The sequence below is a fragment of the Homo sapiens genome, chromosome 7, assembly GCF_000001405.40.
Source record: "Homo sapiens chromosome 7, GRCh38.p14 Primary Assembly".
NCBI lineage: Eukaryota > Metazoa > Chordata > Mammalia > Primates > Hominidae > Homo > Homo sapiens.
In genome coordinates, this window is record NC_000007.14 from 11,087,650 (window position 1) to 11,100,607 (window position 12,958).

Sequence of the window (12,958 nt, forward strand, 5' to 3'; positions counted from 1 at the left end):
GGATTATAACCACAACTATATTTGACTCCCAGTGGTCTTCTCACTTAATAATCTCTGTGTGTTTTCATTTGGCCCATGCTTCATCTGTGTGTGTGGTGTGTGTGTGATACATATGGACACATGTATGAGACTCTGTCACTCTTTTCTGGCATTGGATAAACATTTTGAAATATGCAATAAGAAATAAATAATTTAGGAACATTAGGATTATTTTAAGAAGTCGAATGGGGGCAAAAAGATTTTTAAAGTGTATAACTTGAAACTAACATAACAATTAAAAGTTACCCAGGGCAATTATTTATAAAACATAATTTTATAAGTTCTAATTTATAGAATAGTCCACTTTGTTTAATTCAGTATAAAATATAACTTTGCAGAGTTATCATTATTACAGTCATCCCTCCATATCCGTGGGGCATTGATTCCAGGACCGCTCTCGGATATCAAAATCTGAAGATGCTCAAGTCCCTTATGTAAAATGCCATCATGTTTGCATATAACCTATGCATATGTTCCTGTATGCTTTCAGTTATCTCTAGATACTTATTATAATACCTAATACAATGTAAATGCTATGTAAATAGTTGTTATACCATATTTTTTTTATTGTTGTATTGCTATTTTTTATTGGGTTTATTTTTCCCAAATATTTTCCATCCATGGTTGGTTGAATCCATTGATGCAGAACCTGCAGATATGGAGGGCAGACTGTATTAACTTCAGAAGGTAATGTGTGTTGTTCACATACACACAAACACACACACACACGCACACACACACACAGTCCTATTTCCCAACATGAGAAATTGTCAAATTTTTATGCATTAATAACTAATGAAAATAACAGAGTATTTTTGTTTTCATCCATTTTTAAATGTCTTTTATAAATGTATTTCATTTGTAATCCTGCTTTTTCATTTTAATGAAGAATTTCATTTTCTTACTGTTTTGGTTTTGTTAGTCATGAAATTTTTTTTAATCATAATAACCCTCCTGGGAATTTATCATAAGGAAATAGTCAAAGAAAGAAATGCTAATATAAAAAGACATTTATAGCTATAGTTATAGTAGGAAAATTATTCCCACCGTAAATATATAACTCCCCAAATTAAAACAACTGAAAACACTGTATAGGAGGGGAGTGATAAACTATAACAAATCAGTATTAAAAAATTATGTATCTCCTATAGATTTATAGATTATAAGATATTTACATAGGAATGAGGAAACCTGTTTTATGTCATAAGTATATGCTACTAAATTGTTACATATAAGTGGCTAAAGATTAGAAGGGAACAAAAAATGAGCATGGTATTATTTTAGAATGGTAGGAGTCTGAGTAAAGTAAAATCTTCAACACCATTTTAAGGACATTAATCTCATGAATGTAACATTTAAGTAGAGCCTCATTTTGAGCACAGACAGACACAAAGATTAATTAGATATAAAAAAAAAAAACCGTAGCCCTGATCAGTTAACCGCAGCAAATAAAAACCTAAGACAAACCTTTTATCAGGAGCAACCATTGAGTAGGGCAACTCATATTCAAATGAAATAAACATCAAATCTCTTCCTCAAAACAACATTAAAGTTATCAGCTGTTTGCGTATGTAATTTCAGTTAGTTATGCAGTATACTAAATAAGGTGTAAGGATATGTTCATTGAGGCACAAACAATTCATTGACTTTTATATATGTATATCTTTTAAAGCTTGGATCGTATTTGAACACACCGTGGTTTCTCTAAAAGGTGAAATTCAGCTGGGCATGGTGGCTCATACCTGTAATCCCAGCACCTAGGGAGGCAGAGGTGGGAGGATGGCTTGAGCCCAGGAGTTCAAGACCTGCCTGGGCAATAAAGTGAGACTCCATTCTCCACAAAAAGGAAAAAAAGGACAAAAAAGGTGTAATAAGTAAAATTCAGAACTCTGGAAATATTTTTTAATGAGATACTTAACATATGTCTATATTCTTCAAATACTCAGGCAAGTTTGAGCAAAGTATTATGAGTAGAAGAGGAGAAAGTTAGAATGGTTGATTATTGCCTCATGAATATACTATTAAAAGTGTGACTTTATGATGTGACTTTAGTGTAGAATTGTTCATGCATTCTTTTTTTTTTTTTTTTTTTTTTTTTTGAGACGGAGTTTCACTCTTGTTGCCCAGGCTGGAGTGCATTGGCGTGATCTTGGCTCACCACAAACTCCACCTCCTGGCTTCAAGCGATTCTCCTGCCTCAGCCTCCCGAGTAAACTGGGATTACAGGCATGTGCCGTCACGACCGGCTAATTTTGTATTTTTAGTAAAGACGGGGTTTCTCCATGTTGGTCAGGCTGGTCTCGAACTCCTGACCTCAGGTGATTCGCCCGCCTTAGCCTCCCAAAGTGCTGGGATTACAGGCGTGAGCCACCTCACTTGGCCTGTTCATGCCTTCTTTATGTGTGTACGTGTGTCATTTTTTTATACTTAAGATTATGCATGAAGCCTCAAGTGTGATTTAATTCATAAATAGGCAACCAGTTGAGCTCTGTGAGAAGTGATTGGTCAAAGTACATGAAAGTAATTCTTTAAGTATATTCTCTATGAATCGTAGCAAGAGGAGGAGAAGTTCTGCTTTGAATGAAACTGGTAGGCACTCCCTGTAATTGCCCAGTGAATCAGGTTGACAAAGATAGCTACACAAGGAAGACAGGCCTACAAAGGACTAAATCAATGGGATTCAGTCACAAGCAAGTGAAATTATATCAGTCAATAACTTTCCTTATAAGTGACTGAAATCTTCCAGACCCATATTTTCCTTTTCAGGTTACTCATTTATGTCAATTATTAAAGAACTGCAAAATTGCCTGATTATATCAAGGACCTTGTTGTGACATGGTCTGTAAATGTAGATCTTTTTTTAAAAGAAAGTTGAGTTTCATGTAGAGCATTGAGCACGTTGACTGAAGATTTGACTTTTTCCAAAGCTTGTAACTGTAAAGAAATTGTGGAATCTTGTTTTTCCCTTTAAAAATAAGATTCCTGTGTTTGTTTCTTCTCACCAGATTTACTTTTGAATTTATTTCATATTAAAGATACTGAAAGGCATTCACTTATTTATACATTAGATTTTTATGTAGAGGGTTTATAAGAGACAGAAGAATTCATAGGATAATGGGATCATTCCTAAAAGGATAAAGAAGTCTTCATATAAACCAAGGTGACAGGTGAATTGAATCTTGAAGTATGAGTAGGTTTTAGGAGATTGGGTCAGGAGGTAGCAGTCATTCAAGGGAATAAACAGACACAAATAAAGACAAAGTGGGACCATATGAGTCATGTGTGATGTAGGTTTAAGAGAATAGGTAGATTGGGGCCTTGAGTGCAAGCTAATGATGTTAAGGGGTCCAATGGAGATTTATTGAAGACAAGGGATGATACAAAGGAGAGGATTGTAAAAGGTTGATATTGTGGTGACATACCTGATGAACACATGGGCAGCTGGAGGAAGACCAGTTTGAGGGCTGTGAACCTAGACTGATGGAAGTAGAAATGCAAAGGATTAGAAAGATCTCGGAAACATAACATCATACTAGGGTTGTAGCAGATAATTAATGAAAAATGGAAAGGCAAGGAAGAAAGGGAAGCGTTTAAAGCAAACTGGATGACTTTAAGCTGAATAATGGGAGAGAATGGTGAGAGTAGAAACAGAAAAAAGATGAGTTGGCTATATTTATTTTTTGGAGAAAAATATAATAGGTGAATAGAGGGTTTTTTTTAAAGGTCTACTGAATTAGACATTTTCAGAAAGCATTTAAAATTATGGGATTATAAATATAAAGAGGAGCTGCTTGCCGTTGCTCACGCCTGTAACCCCAGCACTTTGGGCGGCCAAGGTAGGCAGATCAGTTGAGCCCAGGAGTTCAAGACCAGCCTGGGCAAAATGGTGAAACCCGTCTCTACTAAAAATACAAGAATTAGCCGAGTGTGGTGGTGGTGCATGCCTGTAGTTCCAGCTACTCCGGAGGCTGAGGTGGAAGAATCACCTGAACCCGGGAGGCAGAGGTTGCAGTGAGCTGAGATCATGCCACTGCACTCCAGCCTGGGTGACGGAGCGAGACCCTTTCTCAAAAATAAAATAAAAGTGAATATAAAGAGGATTAGAACTCTGGAAATAAATTTGATAACTGTTAAACACTTATTCTTTACCCCTTAAGTATTCAATTCTAATTTTCCGACCTTTGCTTTAAGTAAATGACTGCGTCTTTCAGTGGATATTGAAGGTACAGCAGGAAATCATGCTCTGTAAGAATGGAACACCTGAAAGAATTAGGTAGGTGTCCTTGGTTTAGTTGAGTCACAGGCTAACTCCAGAGAAATTTAATTACCATGTAGCAGAGCCTCAAGATGAGATTTTAATACTCTGCCATTTTTAAGCTTTGTTTTGCTGACTGAAATACCTCTGTGTATAAATAATACTTATCTCTGCTTAGTTGTATGTCAGCTGATTGACTTTAAAGTTGTGGAATATTTGTAATTTGTCTTTTACCCCCTTTATCTGTTTTGTATTTGCTTCTATTCCTTTTTCTTTGTGGTTACCTTCATCCCAGCTAAATTTGCTCTACTTTAAGACAGTGGTCCTTAAACATTAGGGTGCATTTGAAGCACCTGAAAGGCTTGTTAAAAGGGTTTCTGTTTTAAAATTCTGAAGTGGTGACCAAGAATTTGTATTTCTAACAGGTTCCCAAGTGATACAGATATTACTGGTCTGGAGACTAAACTATGGCAATCACTGCCTTATGCATAAAGCCCTTATGCTAAAGTCCTAAGATAGTGGTTCTCAATTGGCTAGAGATACAAAAATATCACCTATAGAAGGAATTACAGAAAAATAAGCAAAAACAGGCCTGGATCTCACTCTTGAAGATTCCAATCAGTAGGTGAACAATTTAGCAATAGTACCTCAGAGTTTAAGTTTAAGAAGTTTAAGAGTTTAAGGGCATATGCCTTTTTTGCATATGCCCACATATCACTCATCTAAACCCAGTGAATTGCCTTTTTGAAGTCTCTTTTTTTTTTGTTCTAATGTGAGGATGTCATGAGACCAAGAGCTCCATTCTTTACTCGCTGAACCTGATCATTGACTCTTAGGGCTTTTAGGGAGGAGATACAGTTGTCTTGGCCAAAATGGTATTATAAAATGTTGAAGCCAGGTGCTGATAAACTCAGAATTATTAAAAGCTCTTTTTGTAAAGTAACACACCAGTTAAAGGGTGTTTTTTTCCCCCTAATAGTGACCCTTGAATCAGATTGGCATGGCAACGTTCTAGATTGCTCTGAAATAGCACTTTGTCTGTTGTCTCCCTGAGACAGTGATCTGTTTTCACTATAGTCAGAAAGTGTGATACAGTCCTGCCAAGCAAAACTAGCTTTCAGGCTTTAGATTCTAAACTTCTAATTTCCCTTAGGACTTTCTCTTTAACTCATGGGTTATTTAGAAGTGTATTTTATTTCCAAATATTCGGAGGATTTTCCATATATATTTCTGCTAATGATTTCTGGTTTAATTGCATCTTTAATATCTCCGTCATCCCAGAGTTTGTTCTGCTGATTGCTTTGTTTCTTGACAGTGGATTTTCTTTTTCATTTTATGTGCCTCATAACTTTTGATTGAATGTTGGACATCATGAGTTGAACAGTAGAATACTTACGCCTGAAAAGGGCACACCTGTTCTTTTTCAAGGCTGTTAGTATGGGGGAGTTGAGTCAGTTTAATCTGGAGTTGAGCTGGGCTTATATTTTCTTGTTGCTCTGCTTACCTCAGTGTACCACAAGGCTTCAGATTTCTTTGGATTTCTTTACTATTTCCTGTGTTTCTGGTTGAGGTTGTAATGCCAGAGTGCTTTTCGTCATTTGTACTCCCCTGTTAAATTTCACCTTTCTCTGTATGCCTGTGCTACTGAAGAAGCCCCATTGCACTGTCTTTCCTCTTACTTAGCAGTAGACTGTCACATATTACTCAGTGCTTGCTGGTCTGGTGGTATTAGCCAAAGGAGTTCTTAATTTTCCTCATTCAAACTCAGCCTTCAGCCTCCAAAGAATCACAAGCTTGGTTCTTGAGTGTAGGCCTTTTTCATTGTTCTCTGCCCTTTTTCCTATGGCAGCTTTATTCTGGCTTGTGTCTTTGGCACATCTTGTGAGGGAGTTTCCTTCTGACTCTCAGGGGTAGGAGACCTTTAAAAGTACAAGGGTAGTATACTGGGCCCAGAAATGTTTCCTGTCACTCCTGTAGGAGTAGAGGATTTTTTTTTCCTCTTATGTTTTTTTCTCTTCACAGTGAGATTACTCTGTTCCCTGTGTGGCAGCAGGGTTTACAGCCTTTCTTTTAATGACATTATGGCTTTCATTCCTTAAAGGAGAAGGGTCTGGGTGAGACTTTGGGTCTTTCCCACTGTGGTGGCCGCTCCCCTTCTCCAGGTCTACACTGCCAACCAGTGAATGGTCTTTCTAATGGCCCAAATTGTCTGAATCTTTTTCTTGAGTACCTGGTGGAGGTGTCTGTTAGTTTTCTCTGGCTGTTAGAACAAATTACTACAAATTTGGTAGCTTAAAACAATATAAAATTTTTTCATAATTTTGGAAGACATAAGTCCAAAACCAGTTTCATTTGGTCAAGGTGTTCAGCAAGGCTGGTTTCTTCTAGAGTGTTTGGGGGTAGAACCCATTTTCTTGCCTTTTCTAGCACTAGAGTTGTTCTGCACTCCTTGGTTCATGACCCCCAACTTCTTGCAGCTATAGTCACATCTATTTATCTCTCTGATTCTGACTCCTCCTACTTCTCTCTTACAAGAGCTCTTTCCTGTGATTATATCAGGCCCCTCTTCTCAAAATTCTTAATCATATTTGCAAAATCCCTTTTACCATACAAGATAACATATTCACAGATTCAGGGCATTAGAACATGGACTCTTTTGTATTGTTATTCAGCCTACCACAGGGTTCCTGGAAAAAAGTTTGTGAATGAAGGTAACCGTCCCTGGGGCTGTGGCTCCCAAGGCTTCTGTACTCTGATATTAGCCAACATTTCACCTTTAGCAAACCTTTAAAATTTATAACTGAATTCTTACTCATGTAGTGTTGAGCAGCTCTTCCTCTCATGCTCTGCCACAGGTGATCCAGAGCTTGGATCCCATCCTTCTTTTATGGGGTCTATCTTTCTTGTATTTCAGGCCACTTGGTTGCCCTCTGACATCAGCTCTCTCATGGCTTGAAAAGTTATAATTTTGTAGTTTATCTTTTTTTTTCTTGCTAGGATAGAAGGAGTGTTATTTCCAGTTGTTGTTGTTGTTATTGTTTTTCCATTCTAGCCAGAGGCAGTTCAAAGAAACTTCAGAAACTTTACTGAGCCTGAGGGAACACAAGTCAACTGCCAGTAATCACTACCTTCAGCTTTATAGTAATAGCAGTAGTAATAAACTAGAACAAATTGTAGTGATAGTAAGAGTGGTTGAGTTGAACTCATAGTGAAGGTAAGTAAGCACTTACCACAACCATATGCCAAGCATTATTTTAATTATTTTATACACTTATTTAATCCTTAAACTCTATAAGGTGGTTACTGTTTTTATTTACATTTATAAGTGAGAAAACTGAGGCAAGTGGAGATTAAGTCATTTTCTCAAGGTGTCAGGCTGATACTGACAGAGCTGGGATTTTAGTCCAGGAACTACTTCTCCAGAATCTGTACTTTTAAGCATGAGGCTGTGCTGCTTCTCAAAAAATAATTTGCTCTGAGGATATGATGGGTCTTTATTCTGTAATTAACTCAATTTCCTCTGTGAACTTTTTGCTGAACTATTTCCCAATTTTTTTGAGAGTCAAGGGCATTTCGTTTAATCCTGTATCCCTAGAAGTAAATGGAAATAAGATCAGGTTTTCTCAACCTGGGTTTCCTGGGAGAATCAATTCTTAATACTCTCAGGCATCCATTAAATGTAGAGAATAAATGTTTTTTCAGTGGATTTTAAATTGTATTCATTATCTACTAAATTGGGAGAAGTGAAAAAAAGTCAAATAATTTTCTATTTTCTGTGTTTCAAATGAGAAGCTCCTATAATCACCTACAAAATGATAATCCCTGCATGATGTAAGTATCAAGCATCATCACGGACATCTCAGCTAGAGTATGAGATAAAACCTCAACTGGATTCTGTAGATTTTTTTTTTTACCCTACTCTCATCACCATTGAAATTGGAGACTGATCTTTTTCTAGTTGTTCTCTAGTCAGGGGATATATCTCTACCTGTATATAGAAGGTCAGCTTTGGGGCTATACTCTGAATTCATAACTAGTAATTCTATTTCAAGGTGCTGTGAGGTTTAGTCCACTGAGAATCCCAAGAGATTTGTGTCTTTGTCAGAATGCTAACTTTTAAAGGTTTATTTTAAATAAGGAATAAAGAGGTCTTCCTTAATCACATGGTTTTCCCAGTCATGCAAAGTTCATTTTGGTTCTTTTATTCTTTTTCGGTGTCTGAGTATATGCATGCATGGATATTTGCATGTAAACTTCAAGTGGGATTAAAACCATTTAGGGCCATCCATGTATTTTGTAAAGAAGATCATCCTGCATAATTACTCTTTATCAGTAACTATCATCAAAAAAATTTTCACAGTAGGATATTCTTATCCTAAAGTTTTTGAATGCTCATACAGACCTGACAATTTCACTTATAGGAGAAAGGGAATTTTGTAAAGAAGATCATCCTCCACAATTATTCCTCATCAGTAACTAGCATCAAATATATTTTTACTTTAGGATGTTCTTATCGTAAAGTTTTTGAATGCTAATACAGACCTGACAGTTCCACTTACAGGAGAAAGGGAACTGGATGCCATTTTCCAGTTCATTTACGGGTATTTCATATCGTATGTTGCTTTAACCTGGGACAGAACCCAGCAGCCTTTTAACACTATTAAAAGCTCTATTTGGTTGTTGCCAATTATAAAGCAGATGTGAAAAGAAAAAGAAAAAGATAAAGCAGATTTGAAAAGTAGACCTTTAAGAACTGTTTGGATATATCGAGTTTTTATAGCCATTCAAAAAGAACTCAAGATAATCTTCCCACAGGACAGTCATGGTGATTAATAAGGAACTACATAGGAAGTAAAGTTGTTTCTTGAGTTTACCAATTTCTGTTGGTGTTTTTCTGGAATTTTGACTTATCACTATATACTGGAAAAAAAAACTCATCTTCAAATGATTTCAGCCAATTCAGTACATTTAATCTTAGTACCTGTTTACTTCATTGATAGTATTTTGCCCCAACAATAGTAGACTAGAACTTTTTTTTTTTTTTTTTTTTTTTGAGACGGAGTTTTGCTCTTGTTGCCCCGGCTGGAGTGCAATGGCACGATCTCGGCTCACTGCAACCTCTGCCTCCCAGGTTCAGGTGATTCTCGTGCCTCAGCCTCCCAAGTAGCTGGGATTACAGGCATGCACCACCATGCCCGGCTAATTTTATATTTGTAGTAGAGATGGGGTTTCACCATGTTGGTCCGGCTGGTCTCGAACTCCCGATCTCAGGTGATCCGCCTGCCTCAGCCTCCCGAAGTGCTGGGATTACAGGCGCGAGCCACCGTGCCCAGCCAGGACTAGAACTTTTTAACGTATTTTATTCATATTGCCACAATGGAGAATTATTATGACACCTAAAATAGATAATATTTTATCAATAAAAGCTAATGTTGATAGATTTAAGGTGACTAATCTATCATAGGTATTGATATCAGAGTCTCCTCAGTTTTCTAAATTATGACTAGGGATCACCATTAGGCGTAGTAGTAGGCCTTTATCATTTGAAATCACAATTTAATTTCTTGGTGAATTAGGATTCAAGGGTAGGAGGAATTTGAGATATTGAGCTCTTCAAAAATTTACCTGACTTTTGAACTTCATCAGCAGTATCCCCACCATGTTGTTATGCAGCTATTGTTTGAATACTTTCCCTTACCACAGTTAATGCTAGAGGCAGAGTTCAGGCTAGTTCAGTCCTCATCTGAAAGTTTGCCTTCCCTTCACATTCTCAAAGTTCATTGTTGATACCCATTTATCTAACTCAGCATCTTGTTTAATATCATTGTATTACATAAGAATCAATAAAGTGCACACTCTTCCAAATCTTGTTTGTCCCTTCCTCTATTCTATCTTCTCCTTCATCTTTTCTCTAGCTCTGAGCTGTCAAACAGCCCATGGTGGGAAAATGAAGACTTTAACATTTAAATTTAAAGGAAGGGGTGTGTGTATGTGTGTGTGTAGATAGGAGGGAGTGTATTTGAAGCTATATATTACCTGATTTTTCTGTAAATCTATCATATTCCTTTAAAAAAGTCTTTTTTAAAAAGTTAAAGGACTGTGAGTAGAAAAATTAATATTTTTCTTTTAAAATCTTTTGTTAATTATAAAAATTTATATACAAAAATATAAAAAGTAATTTTAAATCACCTATAATCTTACACTATCTCAATGTATTTACTTCTATTCAGACATTTTGATGATTCTGTTCAAAACATTTAAAAAACTTTAGCCATGTATATAATTTGAAAGCTGAAAATATCAGAATATTTTGGGAACAGTTTTCTATTAAAACATTTCTTGATCCATTCTTTTCCTTTCCCATTCCTATGGCTTCCTTGAGACCTTTCGCAGTGTCTAGCCTCTGTTTTCTGCCATGTTATTCTGTTCACCTTAGCTTCTTTGCTGTTTTCTCTTGCCGCCTTTCTCTGTTCCTCACTTCTGATTATCTCTCCCTTGGATCCCTCTCTGTCTGCCTTGCCTCTCCTCATTTTTATTGCTAGTGTATAATTGGGTTCTACAGCTCTACTATGTCTCACTTCCCCCAACCTTCTGGCTCGTTTCCTCACCTGATAAAATGGCCAGAACTTGAACTCCAGTTCTTGTGGAAAGTGCACCATTGTCCTCACTAATATCCAGAGCAGGGCATATGTTGTCTTCCTTCTTTAATCCCCACTGCACCCGGCTGTTCTTTACTTCTTTCTCTAAATACCATTATTCCAAGGCTGTCTTGGACATTTACTGAACAATTTAGGGTAACAGAGGCCTTACACACAGAACAGTGTAAGATTTAAAATTAAATGCTTTGTATTCTTGTTCATAAAAGTTACTTGGCCATCCTTGCCACTAAGAATGTTTCCTTTTTGCCTTAGACCAGGTTTTATAAAAAGCAGTGATCAGTGACTTAAGATAAATGTCTTTAGACTTAAAATGATGCTTCATTGTATGTCACGAAGAGATTAGATTCTAAGGAAGGAATTAGAAAATTAAGTAAATTTTGTGCTATAATTTTTAAAAGTTCATTTCAAAAATGCTTTTCTATTAGTAAAAATCAGGGAAGAGAGGTTTAATTTAAAAAATATTCATATTTGGATAATGAGTGTAGCCCAGCTGCCACTGAATTTTTCTTATTAAGGTGGTATTCTGATGAAATTTAAATTAAAAAATGTTTACTTGGTATATTTTTTCTATAATTAAGTTGATTTGCTGATCTTGTTAGACACATGGAATGGCTAACCTGTCTAACACATTTAGTATTTATTGTATCACATTCTTTGACTTAAAATCTGTATTATAACATCAGACCTTTAAGTGTCTTTGTATTATTCATAAATATTTTTTGTTTATGTTATAAATGTTTGGATTTTAAAATTTTTAACACATTTTTAATAGATGCAGTATAGTCAGGTAATTTGTATTTAAAGAAAACAGAAGCCTGAACATGGTATATATTACATAGTGAAGTGTGGTATTTCTGGGGTACACAATTTTAGAGTAATAAACATAATTTCAAGCACCTACAGCAGTGAAATAGTTCTCATTTTACACTTTTATATTTCTGTAAGATTTGTTTTTGCAGTTTTAATTTATCCTCCATTGCAGGGTGTTAATATTGTTAAATTATACAAGGGAAGGATTATATGTTATATACTTAATCATTTGGAAAGACTGAGACTCTTACCACAGTTCTGCTGTTGACTAGATGAATGACCTTGAATCAAGTTACCTCTAAGATCATTGTCTTATCTTTAAAATGAAGACATTAACTTCATTTTTTCTTAAGTTATGTAACTTTTATAACTGAGAGATTTCAAAACAAATATACAGTTTCAAAAAAGATCCTAAAGTCTGTAATCTCACCATTCATCTGACACTTGATTTATCTGCCTAGCATCACTACTAAGCAGCAGGGAATGAGCTTTGTCAAGGATAGAGCTGTGAGCCCCTTCCTCCCTCTTGGCAGGAACTATTGACAATTGACTATTGACAATTTCTCTAAATGAGCTGATGATATGTCTTTACTAAAAATTTAAACACTTGGAGTCATACAAAACAAGTATGATCCAACTTCTAGTTGAAAAGCCAACTATATTGTTTTTGATTTTTCTTTCATTTTTAAATTAAGCATTCTGTTTCATCTGTTACTCCTGTATCAAGGTTTTCATTTGTATTGATTTTATATTTCTTTGGACATATGAAATAGACATTTGAAATAGACATAATAATGAAACGAGGTGAACTGAATTTGAAAATAGGACTGGACACAAATTTTGAAATTTGATTGATTTCCCCAGCAAAATGTTATTTTTAAGTCATTTTGGCCTGGGAATTATAGTAATGATAATGTTAGATGCTTACTGTATCCCAGACTATGTTTTCTGGTCTTTGACTCTACTATCACATTCAGTTCTTACAACAGTCCTATGAGGTATATATATCTCCATTTTAGAAGAGAGGTAACTGGGGTACATAGACACTAAGCAGTGTGAAATAGAAATTATTCCAGTTATATATTTAAATGATATTATGTAAATTAAGTTATGTATTAGAATATAATTTCTTCCCTTCCAGAAAAATACTACCATAGTGTATGATAAAATCTACTGACCTTCACATTAGTTGCCA

General features: G+C 35.7%; 1 protein-coding gene across 4 annotated transcripts in view; it reads left to right on the forward strand.

Moving 5' to 3' along the window:
* The window catches only part of PHF14 (PHD finger protein 14), a 195,747-nt gene that overhangs the window by 113,778 nt on the left and 69,011 nt on the right, over positions 1-12,958 (forward strand). The window lies entirely within an intron of this gene.